A 19,117-nucleotide genomic window follows, 5' to 3' on the forward strand; every position below is an offset into this window, starting at 1 on the left:
CAAATGTTTGCAGTGTGACCGGAAGAAAGGGGTCACAGTAGGTTCATGGGTGTCATTCTGATTAGAAGTCCAGTTTCTGCGTGGGATTGGAAATAGATTATTGTTGTTGAAAACATCTCTTTAAAATAATAGCTTTATTGAGATATGATTCACACATCATACAATTTACTTGTTTAAAGTGTACAGTTTGGTGGTTTTTAGTATATTCACAGAGTTGTGCAACCACCCCTATTTTGTAATTCCAGAACATTTTTTATCCACCCAGAAAGAAACCCCGTCCCCATTAACAGTCACTCCCCATTCCCCCTCCCCTAGCCCCTGGCAAGCACTAAGCTGTCTTCTGTCTCTGTGGGTTTTCCTATTCTGGGCATTTTATATAAATGGAATCACACAACACGTGGCCTTTTGTGACTGGCATCTTTCACTCAGCGTCATGTTTTCAAGGTTCATCTCTGTAGTATCATGGATCAGTGCTTCGTTCCTTTTTAGGGTCAAGTAATATTCCGTTGTATGGATATATTGTATTTGTTTATCCATTCATCAGTCAATGAATTTAGAAAAATTCTGAGGCCAAGTGCAGTGGCTCACACTTGTAATCCCAGCACTTTGGGAGGCCAAGGTGAGTGGATGACCTGAGGTCAGGAGTTCGAGACCAGCCTGGCCAACATGGTGAAACCCGTCTCCACTAAAAATACAAAAATTAGTCGGGTGTGGTGGCACATGCCTGTAATCCCAGCTACTCGGGAGGCTTAGACAGAAGAATCGCTTGAACCTGGGAAGTGGAGGTTGCAGTGAGCTGAGATTGTGTCACTGTACTCCAGCCTTGGCAACAGAGTGAGACTCCATCTCAAAACAAAAACAAAAACAAGATTCTGAAGATATGCAGGTGGCAGTTCTTTCAGCCCTGGAAACCATTTCCCATCTTCCTCATCACCTGGGGTCAGGGGAGCATGGGCTCTGGGCAGAGGTGAGTTCACACTAGATTTTTAGACACAAAGCATTGTTCTCTTTCTGGGGCAGGGGGTGATTCTGCCCCCCAGGGGACACTTGGTGATGTCTGGAGACATTTTGGGTCATCATGATTAGGGAGTGCTTCTAGCATCTGGTGGGTGGAGGCTGGGATGCTGCCCAACCCCCTACATGTAGTGCACAGGATGGCCCCATCGTGTGGAATAATCTGGCCCCAGATGTCGGCAGTGCCAAGACTGAGAAACTTTTTTTTTTTTTTTTTTTTTTGAGATAGACTCTTGCTCTGTTGCCCAGGCTGGAGTGCAGTGGCGCAATCTCGGCTCACTGCAACCTCTGCCTCCCGAGTTCAAGTGATTCTCCTTCCTCAGCCTCCCGAGTAGCTGGGATTACAGGCATCTGCTACCATGCCTGGCTAATTTTTGTATTTGTAGCAGAGATGGGGTTTGTAGTAGAGACCATGTTGGCCAGACTGGTCTCGAACTCCTGACCTCAGGTGATCCGGCCACCTCGGCCTCCCAAATTGCTGGGATTACAGGCATGAGCCACTGTGCCCAGCCAAGGCTGAGAAACTTTTGATTAGAGGTGTAACAGTGAGGTGGGCCAGGGTGTGAGCTTTGCACCTGGTCAGGTAGAGTTCCATCCTTTGCTCCCACCTATATGGCTGTGCCATCTCTGGCAGGCTGCGACCAGGGTGGGCAAGCTTATTCCCAGTTTGACTGGCCACTGCACAGTCCAAGTGGCATGTCCGCCGTGCCTGGAGCAGGTGAATGAACCTATATGATGTGGGCTTCCCTCCTGCAGCCATGGCGCGCTGCCTCCCATACTGTAGACAGCAGGGGTTTGGCCACACCTGCAGCCAGGTGAGGCATGATCGGGTCGGCACCTGCTCCTCTCCTTTGAATTCCAAAGGACAGCATGTCACTCATGCGTGTCTGTTCACAGTTGCCGGTGGTGATGGCACCTGAGGTGTCTTGCTGCCGTGGAAGGCCAGTCAGCAGATGTTTGGCTAGAAGACAGGGACCTCACCAGGGCACAAGCACTGAAGGGTTGGGGGACAGGGCGTAAAGTCGGGAGACTGTTTGCAGGTCTTGGGGCGGAGGGGTGGGTGTGTGGGCGTTCCCTCCCACTCTTAGGCTTGGGTCAGCGTGACAGGCAGGCTGTCTATGGCGCTCTGCTGTGTGACACTGGGTGGGTTTCTCAACCCCTCTGGGCCGTAGAATCCTGAGTTGTAAAGTTGGGGCAGCGCGTTCATTCCATCAAATGACAATTTTCATTGTCTGGCATGTCTCAAGAGCCTGGGGTGCTGGGGCTCCTGCAGTGTACAGGGCATACGGGGCTGTGTTCTTGGGGAGCCAGCATAGTTTTAGGGGGGACAGGAGAGCATCAATGCATCCGAATGAAGCAGACGCCCTCAGAAGGTGGCACACGCTGGGAGAGAAGTGGCTCAGCCACGTGCTAGGAGTGGCTGGGACAGGGGTGACACAGCATCCCCAGAGAGCAGGGAAGAGCACTTCAGATTGGGGACAGGCACAGTCAGAGCCTTGTGGTGGGAATGACTTGGCGAGTTTGAGAATGGGTGGAAAGCAGGGAGGAGGGCAGGTGAGGCTGCAAGAGCTTGGATCTCCCCTGAGGGAGGGGTCTGGGAAGCCTCCCTGCTTGTTTTGTTTGTTTGTTTGTTTGTTTGTTTTTTTGAGGAGGAGCCCCCCCTGTCGCCCAGGCTGGAGTGTGGTGGTGCGATCTTGACTCACTGCAACCTCCGCCTCCTGGGTTCAAGCGATTCTTCTGCCTCAGCCTCCCAAGTAGCTGGAATTGCAGGCATGCACCACCACGCCTGAGTAATTTTGTATTTTTAGTAGAGACGGGGTTTCACCATGTTGGTCAGGCTGGTCTTGAACTCCCGACCTCAGGTGATCCGCCCACCTCGGCCTCTCGGAATGCTGGGATTACAGGTGTGAGCCACGGCGCCTGGCCCCGCTTGTTTTTGTAACAGCTTTATTGAGATGTCATTTCCATGGCATTCCGCCACTCAGTGGCTTTTAGTATATTCACATTTGCACAGCCAACACCAGTCAACTTGAGAACATTTCGTACCCCCAGAAAGAGACCCTGTCCCCATCAACAGTTACTTCCCACTCCCCCTTGCCCAGCCCCTGGCAGCCACAAATCTGCTTTGGTTGCTTGCTTTCTTTTTTTTTGGAGACAGAGTCTCAGCTCTGTCACCCAGTCTGGAGTGCAGTGGCACAATCTCAGCTCACTACAACCTCTGCCTCCCGGATTCCAGTGATTCTCCTGCCTCAGCCTCCTGAGTGGCTGGGATTACAGGCAGGTGCCACCACACCCGGCTAATTTTTGTATTTTTGAGTAGAGACAGGGTTTTGCCATGTTGGGCAGGCTGGTCTCGAACTCCTGACCTCAAGTGATTCACCCGCCTTGGCCTCCCAAAGTGCTGCGATTGCAGGTGTGAGCCACCACACCTGGTCAACTAATGTGGTTTCTGTCTCTATGGATTTGCCTGTTCTGGACATTTCATATCAATAGAATCCTACACAGTGAGGCGAATCCTGCACCATGAAGCCTTTTGTGTCTGCCTTCTTTTACTTAGCATAGTGACTTCAAGCCTCTAACTTGGATCAGTGCTTCATTTCTTTCTTTCTTTTCTTTTTCTTTCTTTTTTTTTTTTTTGAGACAGAGTCTTGCTCTGTCTCTCAGGCTGGAGTGCAGTGAGCCAAGATTACGCCACTGCACTCCAGCCTGGGCGACAGAGTGAGACTCCATCTCAAAAAAAAAAATTGATGGCCATATATATATATATATATATATGTAATATAACACTTACCATTTTGACGTTTTTTAAGTATAAAATTCAGTGGCATTAAGTTTATTCCCAGTGTGGTGCACCGTCACCGGCATGGCTCAGTAATAGTTCATGTCATATTCCATGGTGTGGGTCTACCCCGTTTTGTCCATTCATCTGGCCATGAACACGGGTTGTTTCCACCTTTGGCTGTCGTGAATCATGCTGCTGTTGGCATCTTTGTCCACGTTTTTGGGTGGATGTATATCTTCATTTCTCAGAGCATGTGCTGGGGAGTAGAGTTGCCGGGTCCTCTGGTAACTCTCCATTTATCCATTTGAGGACGTCGTGTGTCTCAGGAGGATAGCTGTGGCTGTGAGTGGGATGGGTGTGGTGTGAGCATCCGCTGCAGGTGTCCAGATCAGGGGGAATGATAGCTGGAGCAAGGGGGTGACAGAGCGGGTGGATTTGGTGGCATTTCTGCAGCAGAGCCACCCAGACGTGCTGGAGGATTGGATGTTGGGGGTGAGGGGAAGGGAAGGGGGGAGTGTCGTCTGCTTGCCAGGGGTTCAGGACATTGGGGATTCCTCGTATGACTGATCATTGATGACCTCAGACAGCAACACCTGGGCCAGAAAAAGTACCCAGGCAAGACAGTCATGGTGGCACGGTCAGGGCTGAAGGAGGGCACTCTCCTGCTGTTACCTACTGTGAAGCTGGAGTAAAACGGGCCCCTGGGCTGCAGGCACAGCGCAGTGGTGGCTCAGGTTAGCTGAGTGTGGAGCCCGCCCCCCAGTCCTGGCTTTGGCGCTATTTGTTTCTGTGCCGGCTGCTTCAGCTGTCTGCTGCCATCCGCAGCCTCCATATACAGGCAGGACTCCCTGAGCTGCTCCCTGAACAAAAGGTGGGGCAAGCTGCCCTCATCCTCATCACTCTCCAGGCCCCTCCAAAAAGCTAAGCTGTCTCAGTACTCCCCAGGTTGTGAGCTGCATGCCCTGCAGCAGGCTGAGTGGTGGCCCCTAAAAAGCATCTGCTCACCTTCTAGCCCTGTAACCCGTGAATTGGACCTTAGTTGGAAAAAAGGTTTCTGTAGATGTGATTAAGGTAAGGATCTGGAGATGAGATCATCCTGGGGGGGTGGCCCTAAATCCGGTGACTGGTATCCTTATGAAGAGTGGGCCATGGCTGGGCGCAGTGGCTCACTCCTATAATCCCAGCACTTTGGGAGGCCGGGGTGGGCAGATCACGAGGTCAGGAGATCGAGACCATCCTGGCTAACATGGTGAAGCCCCGTCTCTACTAAAAATACAAAAAAATTAGCTGGGCGTGGTGGTGAGCGCCTGTAGTCCCAGCTACTCGGGAGGCTGAGGCAGGAGAATGGCGTGAACCTGGGAGGCAGAGCTTGCAGTGAGCCGAGATCACGCCACTACGCTCGAGCATGGATGACAGAGCGAGACTCCGTCTCAAAAAAAAAAAAAAAAAAAAAGAAGAGTGGGCTGGGAGTGGCGATGCATGCCTTTAATCCCAGAGTTTTCAGAGGCCGAGGCAGGAGGATTGTTTGAGCCCAGGAGTTTGAGGTTACAGTGAATTATAATCACTCCAGCCTGGGTGACAGAGTGAGATCCTGTCTCAAAAAAAAAAAAAAGAAAAAGAAAAAGGAAAAGATGGAGGGGGACCAGGCACAGTGGCTCACGCCTGTAATCCCAACATTTTGAGAGGCTGAGATGGGACGATAACTTGAAGCCAGGAGTTTGAGACCAGCCTGGGCCACAAAGAGGGAACTCATCTCTACGAAAAAAAATTGTTTTTTAATTAGCCGGGTGTGGTGGCGTGCACCTGTAGTCCCAGCCACTTGGGAGGGTGAAGTGGGAGGATCACTTGAGCCCAAGAGTTAAGGCTGTGGTGAGCCATGATTGTACCATTGCACTCCAGCTGGGGTAAAAGAGTGAGACCCTTTTCTCCAAAAAAAAAAAAAAAAAAAAAAGACAAGAAAGGACACAGAGACACAGGGGAGAGGACCATGTGACAATGGAGGCAGAGATTGGAGCGATGTGGTCACAAGTCAAGGAATGCCCAGAGCCCCCAGAAGCTGGAAGGGATAGGAAGGGTCTTCCCCTAGAGCCTCTGGAGGAAGCATGGGCCTGCCGGTGCCTCTTTTTTTTGTTTTTTTTGAGATGGAGTCTCACTCTGTCGCCCATGTTGGAGTGCAGTGGCGTGATCTCGGCTCACTGCAACCTCCTTCTCCCGTGTTCAAGCGATCCTCCTGCCTCAGCCTCCCGAGTAACTGGGATTACAGGCTCCTGCCACCACGCCTGGGTAATTTTTGTATTTTCAGTAGAGATGGGGTTCATCCTATTGGCCAGGCCGATCTCGAACTCCTGGCCTCAAATGATCCACCTGCCTCGGCCTCCCAATGTGCTGGGATTACAGGTGTGAGCCACCGCGCTCGGTCTTCCCCACCCCCACTCTTAGGACACAATCCATACCCGAACACTGAGCTCCTACACTCCAACCCCGACCCTGTGGTCCTGATCCTCCACCCCAGGCCCTGCTCTTGCTGTCTCCCTCTGTCTCATCCAGTGTAGAGCAAGGGCCCCTGCTACTAAAAAGGGCTGAATGAAGGGTCCACTCCGGGCCTCGGTGGTAACCCCACACAAAACCTGCGGAGCCAGCTGGAGCTGGCTGGACTTATGCATCTGCAAGCGGCTGCAGCCCTGTCCTGATGTGAAGTCCACAAGGTTACCTGGTGCTACAGGTTCTGTCAGGCCCGGGGTTCCTTGCCACTGGCTAAAGTCACAAATTACCACAAAGTGAGGGGCATGAAAAACAGAAATTAATTCCCTCACCGTCATCAATATGATGAAACCCCGTCTCTACTAAAAATACAAAAATTAGCTGGGCATGGTGGCATGCACCTGTAATCCCAGCTACTCAGGAGGCTGAGACAGGAGAATTGCTTGAACTTGGGAGGTGGAGGTTGCTGTGAGCAGAGATCATGCCATTGCACTCCAGCCTGGGCAACAAGAGTGAAACTCTGTCTCAAAAAAAAAAAAAAAAGAAGTGGTTAGGGTGTGCAGCGACCAGGTCCACGTGCTCTGGGGAATCTGGGAGGGCTTCCTGGACCCTCAGCGTGTGTGAAACCAGGGGCTGCAGGGCTGGGTGAGGAGCAGATGTCCCTGGCTCAGGAACAGGCATGGCACTTGTGGCTCTGCAGTTAGAAATTCATTTTTCTGGGCCGGGCACGGTGGCTCACGCCTGTAATCCCAGCACTTTGGGAGGCCGAGGCAGGCGGATCACAAGGTCAGGAGATAGAGACTATCCTGGCTAACATGGTGAAACCCTGTCTCTACTAAAAATACAAAAAATTAGCTGGGCATGGTGGCACGTGCCTGTAGTCCCAGCTACTCGGGAGGCTGAGACAGGAGAATCGCTTGAACCTGGGAGGTGGAGGTTGCAGTGAGCCAAGATAGTGCCACTGTACTCCAGCCTGGGCGACAGAGCGAGACTCCGTCTCAAAAAAAAAAAAAAAAAAAAGAAATTCATTTTTCGGCCGGGTATGGTAGCTCACACCTGTAATCCTAGTATTTTGGGAGGCCGAGGTGGGCAGATCACGAGGTCAAGAGATCGAGACCACCCTGGGCAACATAGTGAAACTCTGTCTTTACTAAAAATACAAAAATTAGCCAGGTGTGGTGGTGTGCACCTGTAGTCCCAGCTACTTGGGAGGGTGAGGCAAGAGAATTGCTTGAACCAGGGTGCTGGAGGTTGCAGTGAGCCGAGATTGTGCCACTGCACTCCAGCCTGGGTGACAGAGTGAGACACCGTCTAAAAAAAAAAAAATTCATTTTTCATGGCTTGCCAGCACCTACCACCAAATGTGCAATCAAGACAGGTTTTACCAAGGAGCTTAACTCTTTTGTTTTTGTTTTTTTTTTTTTTGAAACAGAGTTTCTCTCTGTCGCCCAGGCTAGAGTGCAGCGGTGTGATCTCAGCTCACTGCAAGCTCCGCCTCCTGGGTTCACGCCCTTCTCCTGCCTCAGCCTCCTGAGTAGCTGGGGCTACAGGCGTCCACCACCATGCCCGGCTACTTTTTTTTGTATTTTTAGTAGAGACAGGGTTTCCCCATGTTCGCCAGGATGGTCTTGATCTGATCTCGTGATCCACCCGCCTTGGCCTCCCAAAGTGCTGGGATTACAGGCGTGAGCCACCATTCCCGGCCCGCTTAACTCTTACTGTTTGCAGGCACACTGATGTACTCTGTTTTGTTCTAATATGAAAATTAGCCTGGGCTGGGTGGGCACAGTGGCTCACACCTGTCATCCCAGAGCTTTGGGAGGCCAAGGCAGGTGGACCACCTGAGGTCAGGAGTTCGAGCCAGCCTGGCCAACATGGTGAAACCCTGTCTCTACTAAAATACAAAAATTAGCTGGGCATGGTGGCGGGCACCTGTAACCCCAGCTATTCTGGTGGCTGAGGAAGGAGAATCGCTTGAACCTGAAAGGTGGAGGTTGCAGTGAGCTGAGATTGCACCACTGCACTCCCCAGCCTGGGTAACAGAGCGAGACTCCGTCTCAGAAAAAAAAAAAAAAAAATAGGCTGGCATGGTGGCTCATGCCTGTGGTCCCAGCTACTTGGGAGGCTGAGGCGAGAGGTTCCCTTGAGCCTAGGAGCTTGAGGCTGCAGTGAACTATGATCACGCCACTTCACTCCAGCCTGGCCGACAGAGAGACTCCATCTCAAAAAAAAAAAAAAAAAAAGAAGAAGAGACGAAGAAAAAAATAAAAAGTACCAGTTGGGACCCACTGAATTGATAACTTACTAATCCAGAGCTCTGTAAGCTACGTCTCTTTATTTTATTAGAACATGGGCACAACCATTTATTCCTTTTTTGTGGCTGCTTTTGTGGGACATCAGCATAGTCCCATGCAACAGAGATCATGCGGTCCACTGTGGCTTTGACCTCCTGGGCTCTAGCGATCCTCCCACCTCAGCCCCCTGAGTAGCTGGGACCACAGGTGTTAGCCACCATGCCCGGCTAATTTTTTTATTTTTTGTAGAGACAGGGTCTTCTCCCTGTGTTGTCCAGGCTGGTCTCAAACTCCTGTGCTCAAGCAATTGTCCCATCTTGGCCTCCCAGAGTGTTGGGATTACAGGTGTGAGTCACTGCGCCAGGCGCATCTGGCCCTTCACAGAAGGGATTGGCTGGCCTCTGGGACTCACACACAGTTTGAAACCCACTGACCTCAAGTGTTAAGGAAGATCAGCTGCAGGGGCTGGGGGTGGTTAGCAAGGAGAGTGAGGTTGGCGGCAGTTCTCCCACTTTCAGCGACCTCTTTTTTTTTTTTTTTGAGAGAGGGAGTCTTGCTCCTATAAGATCTTGGCTCACTGCAACCTCTGCCTCCTGGGTTCAAGTGATTCTCCTGCCTCAGCCTCTCAAGTAGCGGAGACTATAGGCACGCGCCACCATGCCCAGCCAATTTTTGTATTTTTAGTAGAGATGAGGTTTCACCATGTTGGCCAGGCTGCTCTCCAACTCCTGACATCAAGTGATCTGCCCGCCTCGGCCTCCTAAAGTGCTGGGATCACAGGCATGAGCCAATGTGCCCAGCTAATTTTTGTACTTTTGGTGGAGTTGGGGGTTTCGCCATGTTTGCCAGGCCGGTCTCGAACTCCTGGTCTCGAGACCTGCCCGCCTTCGCCTCTCAAAGTGCTGGGATTACAGATGTGAGCCACTGCGCCCGGCCTGGGGATTTCTTTTTTTAAATGGGACTCTGTAAAATGCCATATGGACAGCACAAGTGGGGTCTGCCCTGGGTAGAGACTGGCCTGAACCCAGGGTCAGGGAAACATCAAAATCCACAGGTTATTCCGTGCAGAGTAGGGGGCTCACTTGGGGCCGATTCTGCCCCTGGGGGCATTTGGCAACTTTTGGGGACATTTGTGGTTGTCACGACGGGGAATGGGGTGCTACTGGCATCCAGTGGGCAGAGACTGAGGATACTGGTCAACACTACAGTACACACGGCCGGGTGTGGTGGCTCACGCTTGTAATCCCAGCACTCTGGGAGGCTGAGACAGGCAGATCACGAGGTCAGGAGATCGAGACCATCCTGGCTAACACAGTGAAACCCCGTCTCTACTAAAAATACGGAAAATTGGCTGGGCGTGGTGGTGGGCGCCTGTGGTCCCAGCTACTCGGGAGGGTGAGGCAGGAGAATGGCGTGAACCCGGGAGGCAGAGCTTGCGGTGAGCCGAGATCGCGTCACTGCGCTCCAGCCTGGGCGACAGAGTGAGACTTCATCTCAAAAACAAACAAACAAACAAACAAAAACACTACAGTACACAGGATGGCCCCCACCACAGGGAATTATCCAGCCCTAAGTGTCAGCAGTGTCACAGTCCAGAAGCCCTGGTGTCAGGCCCTGTGTGTGCCGGGAGCATGCAGGTGCAGAGGGGTGGGTGGAGGCTACTGGCTACATGAGATGCAAACCTGGATCCTGTAGTACATGACTGCTCTGGGCAGCTGGTGGCGTCCTCCCGGGTTTACAGAGTGGGAGACAGGCCCGGAGAGCGAATGTCATAGAGCGCTAGAGTGGAGAGGCTGCCATCTGACCCAGGTTGGACTAACCCCGCAGCCTGTGTGTTTTTGCCGTGTCACGGAGTTCTGGGAGTTGGCCGGCTGGTCAGGGTGAGGCAGGGCGGTTCAGGCTGCTGGAAGCCTGTGTGCCGAGGAAGGGGCCCTCAGAGCAGGTACGACAGTGGGTGGAGGGCCTGGAGCCAGGCCCTGCCATGTGGAGCCATGGAAGGTTCTAGTGGGATGGCAATGTGAGTGACAGTGGGGGTCCAGGGAGTGGCAGGAACTGGCCTTGCTAGAATCCATGTATTTGTGCACAGTGGATTGTTGCAGTAACTCATGAGAAAGGGCCTGTTGCCTGCCCCCATGGCACAGATGAGAAATTGAGGCACAGGAGGTCACATGGCTGACGGTGGGAGGAGGAGCTGGGACTTGAACCTGTGTCTGACTCCAAGGCCCATGCGGAGGACCTTGTTGTACGCTGAGCCTCAGTTCATGTTCATCTGTTGAGAAGCATAGAGGTTGTCCCTGGTTTTTCTCAACCTAAACATTCTTTGTGTTTGTCCCAGTGCATGTACTGGGGGAGTGGGGACCTCTCCAAGGTGCCTGCCTGGGAATGGCCCCACCTGTGTGTCCCTGAGCCCCCTCCAGTAGGGAGGAGGGCGAGCAGCTGGAGGTGTGCCACTCACGGAGGAAGACTCGGGGCATTTAGGAGGTGATGGTGACAGGGATTATTGGGAGGGCGGGTGGGGGAGTCCCAGGCTGCAGCGTGGGAACCAGAATCACAGGGGAGGGGTGGGGGGTAGGAGAGTCCTGCTTCACCTTGGAGCTCATGGGATAGAACACACCCCCACTTTATTTCTGGTTGGGGTATGTCTCTGACCTCCAACAGGTCCTGCGTGGCCCCTGGGTGGAGGTGGGTGCCCTGTTCTTCTGGGTGTGGCTGTGGTGCCAGCAGCTGGATGGGGGTCCAGGTGTGTAAATAAGGAAGTGCCGCGTGCCTCGAGGGCCAGGGATGCCCGAGAGCCAATGTTTATTATTTGCCAACTGGAAACGAAGCATGGCCGGGGCCTCCTCCTTGGGGTTCTTGCACGGAGGGATTCAGAAGCACTTGGCACCGGGGGGAGCAGCCTCATCGGTGTCCAGCCAGGGCCACACAGTCAGCCTCAGCCCCCACCTCGCTTCCTTCTGGGCGAGCTTAGACCTGGGAGGCCTCTTTTTTTTTGGAGTGCCGTGGTGCGATCTCAGCTCAGCAACCTCTGCCTCTCGTGTTCAAGCGATTGTCCTGCCTCAGCCTCCTGAATAGCTGGGATTACAAGCGTGCACCGCCATACCTGGCTAATTTTTGCATTTTTGGTAGAGATGGGGTTTCACCATGTTGGCCAGGCTGGTCTCCAACTTCTGACCTCAAGTAATTCTCCCTCCTTGGCCTCCCAAAATGCTGGGATTACAGGCATGAGCCAATGCTCTTGGCCCAACCTGGGAGGCCCTGCTGTCTTTGGTGCATGGTGCAGTAGGGGTCACAGTGGTCTCTGCCTCATTGGATCATGGTGAGACGTGAATGTGAAGGCATCTGGTGTATCTGGAATGGGGCCTGGCATAGATACTCACTGTGTGCTCACTGCTGCCAAGATGCTGGAGGTGTGGCTACTGTGGACACATGGTGTACCCAGTTGGCACTGGGCAGGCATTTGGCAGGCATCCAACAGGTGCTTGATGGGGACACAGCAGGCCTGCAAGAGGCACTTCGTGCCCACACAAGGAAATATTTAGCAGATGTTCAGTAGGTGCCCAGTAGATGCTCAGCAGGCACACAGTGTGTACTCAGCTGGTGTTCAACAGGCTAATGGTATGTACTCAGCTGGTGCTCAGCAGGCTTACAGTGTGTGTTCTGCAGGTGCTCAGCAGGTGCACGGTGTGTTCTGCAGTGTGTACTCAGCAGGTGCTCGGCAGGCACACGGTAGGTGCTCTGCAGGTGCACAGTTTGTGTTCTGCAGGCGCTCAGCTGGCGCAGCATGTACTCAGCAGGCGCTCAGCAGGCACTCAGCAGGCACACAGTGTATACTCAGCAAGTGCTTAGTAGGTGCACAGTGTGTACTCAGCAGGCACTCAGCAGGCACAGTGTGTACTCAGCAAGTGCTTAGTAGGTGCACAGTGTGTACTCAGCAGGCGCTCAGCAGGCACAGTGTGTACTCAGCAAGTGCTTAGCAGGTGCACAGTGTGTACTCAGCAGGTGCTTAGCAGGCACACAGTTTGTACTCAGCAGGCGCTCAGCAGGCACACACAACAGTGTGTACTCAGCAAGTGCTTAGCAGGTGCACAGTGTGTACTCAGCAGGCACTCAGCAGGCACAGTGTGTACTCAGCAGGCGCTCAGCAGGCGCTCAGCAGGCACAGTGTGTACTCAGCAGGCACTCAGCAGGTGCACAGTGTGTACTCAGCAGGCGCACAGTGTATACTCACCGGGCGCTCAGCAGGCGCAGTGTGTGCTCAGCAGGTGCTCAGCAGATGCGCAGTGTGTACTCATCAGGTTCTCAGCACATGCACAGTGTGTACTAAGCAGGTGCTCAGCAAGTGCAGTGTGTACTTAGCAGGCACTTAGCAGGCGCACAGTGTGTATTCCACAGGTGCACAATGTGTATACAGGTGCTCAGCAGGCGTACAGTGTTCAGCAGGCACACGGTGTGTATTCAGCAGGTGCACAGTGTGTATTTGGTTGCTGAGCAAGTGCACACTGTGTACTCAGTAGGCGCAGTGTGTGCTCTGCGGGCACTCAGCAGGTGCACAGTGTGTATTTAGCAGGCGCTCAGCAGGTGCATAATGTGTATTTAGCAGGTACTCAGCAGGCGTACCGTGTGTGCTCTGCAGGCGCTTAGCAGGTGCACAGTGTGTATTTAGCAGGCACTCAGCTGACACACAGTGTGTATTTAGCAGGCGCTCAGCAGGCACAGTGTGAACTCAGCAGGTGCTCAGCAGGCATCAGCAGGCTCTGGAATCTGACCTCCCTGTGGGCAGGCCTGTCTCCAGTTCATTCTGGAATCTCATAGAAGCAGGTGCTCTCTAAGAGGGCCAGTACCATGTCACATGGTCCAATGTCCCCACTTCAGTCCTGGGAGGGGTGTGCGGGGTCTTCTCAATACCTCCATCTGGGAACATGTACCGGCTGTTGAGGGGCCCTGAAGTGAGAAGAGTAGTTTGTGGTCTTCCTGGAGCTCACATTTTTCTAAGCAAATCCTGAGCCTGTATACTTGTACGGAACACAGTGTGTTCCAGGGTCAAATCCTCGGGGTAGGATGGCCCTGGGGCTGCATGATGGTGCCCACCCAGCCCTCTGAGTGCCTGAACAAGAAGCACTGGGGTGGCCCGGTGAGTTCTCCCTGCAGCAGTGAGGGTTTGGATAGGAAAGTCCATTCCTCGAGTCAGTTGGTATTTCCTGAGCATCTCCTGTGAGCTGGCCCCGGAGACACCTTGGAGAGCAGGTCAGCTGGAGACCCTGCCCTAGGGAGTGACAGGAAGCCACACCTGTGCCAGCTGGCCCTGCCCCTGAGGTTGCGGCTCTGAGCCAAAGCGAAGAGCCTGGCCTCGCCTGGCTCTGGGGGTGATGCCTCGTGGGCCAGGGTGAGGGGTTGAGATCTGGTCCTGGGATGGGGAGGGTTTTGAGCAGGGCAGTGATGTGGGATTTATGCTTTGCAAGGATCCCATTGGCTGCCATGTGGGGACAGGCCTGGGAGGAACGAGTAGGGAGCAGCAGGAGGCCTAGGAGGGGCCAGGGCAGGTGTCCCCCGGAGATAGTGGGTGCTGGGGCTCTGTGATGACCTGGGGCTTGGCAAAGGCGGGCTTGTGACAGACTGAGCCTCATCTCGGCAGCTCTCACACCCATGGATCCTGAGCCTGATTCCCCAGGAGGGTTGGCGACGGGAGGGTTATGTTAAGTGGCTGCGTCTTCCATCTCAGGGAGCCCCACACTGGGGAACGTCACCACTATAGCGGCTGAGAGGCTTTGGGTCCTCATTTACTACATAAAATTCCCCCTTCTCTGTACTTGGGTCCTGACGCCTCCGCTGGTCCCAGGAGTTTCACTCCGTGGGGTGGGGTTGAAGGGTGCGGTGAGGCCCAGAGGGGCTGAGTCTGCTTGGAAGGGTGGGCCTTCTCCCACTGCGGGTGCTAATACCCTGTGCCCATATCCTAGCCACCCTGTCCCTTATCCACATACCCCACTCTGGTATTTCAACAGCCCAGAGACCACCACGGTGCTTGGGGGCTCTCGGCAAGGGGGCGAAGCCTCCCTGAGAACTTCTGCAGGCCGCCCTTCTCTTCCCTTTCCTGCCGGGGCTCTTGCTGCAGAGAAGCTCTCTGCCACACTTTTTTTTTTTTAAATAAAAAAAATGAAAATAAAGAAATCATTTATGTTTCAAAACTTTGATTAAAATTGAAAACAGAAACACCACAGCACTTCCCGTTTCCTCTGCATCTGGCACCACTCACCTGGGTGCAGAGGGTGGGTGGGTGCATGCCAGCTGGTCATTCGCCCGGAAATCTCTGGGAGGAAGTATCAGCACAGCCTAGCAGGGCGCCTGGGACTGGCTCTGTGGGCTGGCCGTCCCTCTGGCTGGGGACACGGGGAGGCCGAGCGTGTCCGCAAAGACACGCGAGCTGTCCACCTTTCTGGGCTGCAGGGGTCTGCAGAACCTCGGAACCTCGGAGGGGCTCTCTGTCTGCTTCAGCGTCTCTTTCTCAAGTGACTGAAAGCAGAGGCTCCCTGCTGCGTTACACCATTGAGTCCTTTCGCATCTGTGCGCATCCCGCTTCCATCGCTGCGGGGATCCCTTCGGTCCTCCCAGGCAGGCGAGATTGGTGGCTGTAATTAGGACAGGAGTGGCTCATTATATCATCACAGAATAAATGCACAGACCCTGGGGATGATTTATGGTCCCAACAGCCTATCTTTGCGCCCAGGCGGCCTCGGCCTCTGTTCGGCAAGGAGCCCGCTAATCCCTTCACTGCCGGCTCAGCCGGGGCAGAAGGAGGAGCCTGAAGGTCCACCATGGGGTGGAGGCTGCCTGCTCGCGGGCCCGCCCCCAGAGCCCGGGGCTCATCACGCTGCTCTATGCGCCTCTGTTGGCTCCTGCCAAACAGTCCCTCCCTTCTGTGCCTCAGTTTCCTGGCTGTAAAAAGGGGGTGCTCACAGAGCCCCCTTGAGGAGTCGTCACATGGATTAGATGATGCATCCACGCAAAGTGTCTGGCCCCGTGCCCGGCCCGTGGTGGGTGCACACCTTGAAAGATGCCTGCTTGGCCGAGGCCAGCTGTTGAGCTGCTACTTGGGGCAACAGTGAGAGCAGGATCGCACCTTGTTCACCTCTGTGCCTTGGCCCAGAATATGACAGCTGCCACTGTGTGGCTTATGGGTCATCTGTTTAGTTTCACCTGAGGGAGTATTCATTGCTGTTAACTGTTTCTTATGAGATAGGATTTTTGTTTTTTGTTTTTTGAGACAGAATCTCACTCTGTCACCCAGGCTGGAGTGCAATGGCGCCATCTCAGCTCACTGCAACGTCCACCTCCTGGGTTCAAGCGATTCTCCTACCTCAGCCTCCTGAGTAGCTGGGATTACAGGCGTGTGTCACCAGGCCCAGCTAATGTTTTTTATTTTTTTTGTATTTTTAGTAGAGACGGGGTTTCACCATGTTGGTCGGGCAGGTCTCCAACTCCTGATCTCAAATGATCCGCCCACCTTGGCCTCCCAAAGTGCTGGGATTATAGGCATGAGCCACCGCGCCCACCGTTTTGTTTTTTTTTTTTTTTTTTGAGACGGAGTTTCACTCTTGTTGCCCAGGCTGGAATACAGTGGTGCAATCTCGGCTCACCGCAACCTCCTCCTCCCGGGTTCAAGCAATTCTCCTGTCTCAGCCTCCCGAGTAGCTGGGATTATAGGCGTGTACCACCACACCCGGCTAATTTTGTATTGTTAATAGAGATGGGGTTTCTCCATGTTGGTCAGGCTGGTCTTGAACTCCCGACCTCAGGTGATTTGCCCGCCTCAGCCTCCCAAAGTGCTGGCATTACAGGCGTGAGCCACTGTGCCCAGCATTTTTTTTTTTTTTTGAGACAAGGTCTGGCTCTGTTGCCCAGGCTGGACTGCAGTGGTGTGATCTTGGCTCACTGTAGCCTCAATTTCCTGGGCTCAGGCAGTCCTCCTGCCTCAGCCGCCTGAGTAGCTGAGACCATAGGTGTGTACCACCACAGCTGGCTAATTTTTAGTATATATTTTTTGTAGAGACAGGAGTCTCCCTGTGTTGCCTACGCTGGTCTCAAACTCCTGGGCTCAAGTGATCCTCCTCCTGCCTGGGCCTCCCAAAGTGCTGGCTTGAGCCCCATACCTGGCTTCTTAGGGGATAGTCTTTTTTTTTTTTTTTTTGAGATGGATTTTCGCTCTTGTTGCTCAGGCTGGAGTGCAATGGCACAATCTTGCCTCACCGCAACCTCCACCTCCCGGGTTCAAGCGATTCTCCTGCCCTCAGCCTCCCGAGTAGCTGGGATTTCAGGTATGCGCCACCACACCCGGCTAATTTTGTATTTTTAGTAGAGGCAGGGTTTCTCCATGTTGGTCAGGCTGGTCTCGAATTCCCAACCTCAGGTGATCCACCTGCCTCGGCCCCCCAAAGTGCTGGGATTACACAGGAGATAGTCTCTTAGACTTTGTGAAAAGTTTTGGAGATAGTGCAGGGAATACCCATAACCCCCCACCTGTTTCCCACATTGTGAACATCACACGTGACCTGGTTGCGACGGCCGGGCTGGGACCTCCAGTTGTCACAGTTCTTTTTTTTTTGAGATGGAGTCTCGCTCTCGCTCTGTTGCCTCAATTTCCTGGGCTCAGGCAGTCCTCCTGCCTCAGCCTCCTGAATAGCTGAGACTCGGCTCACTGTAAGCTCCACCTCCTGGGTTCACGCCATTCTCCTGCCTCAGCCTCCCGAGTAGCTGGGACTACAGGCGCCTGCCACCACGCCCGGCTAATTTTTTTGTGTGTATTTTTAGTAGAGATGGGGTTTCACCTTGTTAGCCAGGACGGTCTCGGTCAGGATAGAGACGGGGTTTCACTGTGTTAGCCAGGATGGTCTCAATCTCCTGACCTCGTGATCTGCCCACCTTGGCCTCCCAAAGTGCTGGGATTACAGGCGTGAGCCACCGCTCCTGGCCCAGTTGTCACAATTCTATTAACTAGACTCCAGACTGTGTTTGGATTTCCCCGGATTGCTCCTTTAAGCACCTTCTCTGGACAGGGTTGTGTGTTGCATTTATTTACTTACGTATTTATTTATGCATTTATTTATTTATTTATTTATGATAGAGTCTTGTTCTGTCGCCTAGGCTGGAGTGCAGTGGCACGATCTCAGCTCACTGCAAGCAACCTCCACCTCCCAGGTTCAAGCGATTCTGGTGTCTTAGCCTCCCAAGTAGCTGAGATTATAGGCATGCACCACCATGCCCGGCTAATTTTTGCGTTTTTAGTAGAGATGGTGTTTCGCTGTGTTGACCAGGCTGGTCTTGAACTGCTGACCTCAGATGATTCGCTTGCCTTGGCCTCCCAAAGTGCTAGGATTATAGGTTTGAGCCACCGTGCCTGGCTAATTTTTGCATTTTTAGTAGAGATGGGGTTTCACTATGTTGGCCAGGCTGGTCTCGAACTCCTGACCCCAAGTTATCTGCCTGCCTTGGCCTCCCAAAATGCTGGGATTGCAGGCGAGAGCCACTGCGCCTGGCAACGTGTTGCATTTAGTCAAAGCATCTCCTTTGATTCCTCCAATCTGTGATGGTTCCTCAATGTCTCCTCATCATCCGTGACCTTCACTCTCTTGAGGAGAGCTGGTCAGGTGTTTTGTGGAATGTCCTTATTGTGGTCTTGTGGAGGTTTTCTGGCAATTGGACTGAGGTTGTGGGATTTTGGTGGGGATCCCACAGAAGTGAAGTGCTCGTTTTCTTTTTATATTTTTTCTTTTTTTATATTTAAAATAGGGATCTGCCTGTGTTGCCCAGGTTGGAGTGCAGTGCTCACTGCAGCCAGGAATTCCTGGGCTCAAGCAATCTTTCCACCTCAGCCTTTCAAGTAGCTGGGACTACACCATCATGCCTGGCTTTGTTTTAAAATTCTTTTGTAGAGACGGGGGTCTTGCCATGTTGCCCAGGCTCAAGTGATCCACCCTCCTTGGTCTCCCAAAGTGCTAGGATTACAGGCGTGAGTCACCATGCCCAGCCTTTTTCTTTTTTTTAAAGTTAGTAAAATACACATAACATGTGGCCAGATGCGGTAGCTCTTGTCTGTAAGCCCAGCACTTTGGGAGACTGAAGCAGGTGGATCACCTGAGGTGAGGAGTTCGAGACCAGTCTAGTCAACATGTTGAAACCCCGTCTCTATTAAAAATACAAAAATTAGCTGGGTGTGGTGGCAGGCGCCTGTAATCCCAGCTACTCGGGATGCTGAGGCAGGAGAATCGCTTGAACCCTGGAGGCAGAGGTTGCAGTGAGCCATGATCGCACCACTGCACTGCAGCCTGGGCAACAGAACAAGACCCTGTCTCAAAAACAAACCAAAAACAAAACAAATACACATAACGTGTAAGTTACTGTCTTAACCTTAAGTGTGCAGTTCAGTGGCATTTAGTAAGTATCCTCACATTGTTTTGCAATCATCACCACCATCTGTGTTCAGAGCTTTTGCATCTTCCCGCACAGAAACTCTGTCCCCATTAAACACTCACCCACCCACCCCCTACCCCCCAAT

At 53.0% G+C, this 19,117-nt stretch overlaps 1 protein-coding gene across 2 annotated transcripts in view, besides 3 other annotated features; it reads left to right on the top strand.

The window, feature by feature from the left end:
• Window positions 1-19,117, top strand: part of CRTC1 (CREB regulated transcription coactivator 1) — a 98,654-nt gene that overhangs the window by 2,118 nt on the left and 77,419 nt on the right. The window lies entirely within an intron of this gene.
• Window positions 9,962-10,860: an enhancer, noted in NCBI's record as "H3K4me1 hESC enhancer chr19:18806569-18807467 (GRCh37/hg19 assembly coordinates)". NCBI's record gives its function as "activates a minimal SCP1, AML or CMV promoter by ChIP-STARR-seq in naive H9 embryonic stem cells {active_cell/tissue: H9 hESC(naive)}" and the evidence as "EXISTENCE:reporter gene assay evidence [ECO:0000049][PMID:30033119]".
• Window positions 14,270-15,116: an enhancer, noted in NCBI's record as "H3K4me1 hESC enhancer chr19:18810877-18811723 (GRCh37/hg19 assembly coordinates)". NCBI's record gives its function as "activates a minimal SCP1, AML or CMV promoter by ChIP-STARR-seq in primed H9 embryonic stem cells {active_cell/tissue: H9 hESC(primed)}" and the evidence as "EXISTENCE:reporter gene assay evidence [ECO:0000049][PMID:30033119]".
• Window positions 15,460-15,509: an enhancer, noted in NCBI's record as "active region_14331". NCBI's record gives its function as "activates an Ori minimal core promoter by ATAC-STARR-seq in GM12878 lymphoblastoid cells {active_cell/tissue: GM12878}" and the evidence as "EXISTENCE:reporter gene assay evidence [ECO:0000049][PMID:35858748]".

The sequence above is a fragment of the Homo sapiens genome, chromosome 19 (assembly GCF_000001405.40).
Source record: "Homo sapiens chromosome 19, GRCh38.p14 Primary Assembly".
Taxonomy (NCBI): domain Eukaryota; kingdom Metazoa; phylum Chordata; class Mammalia; order Primates; family Hominidae; genus Homo; species Homo sapiens.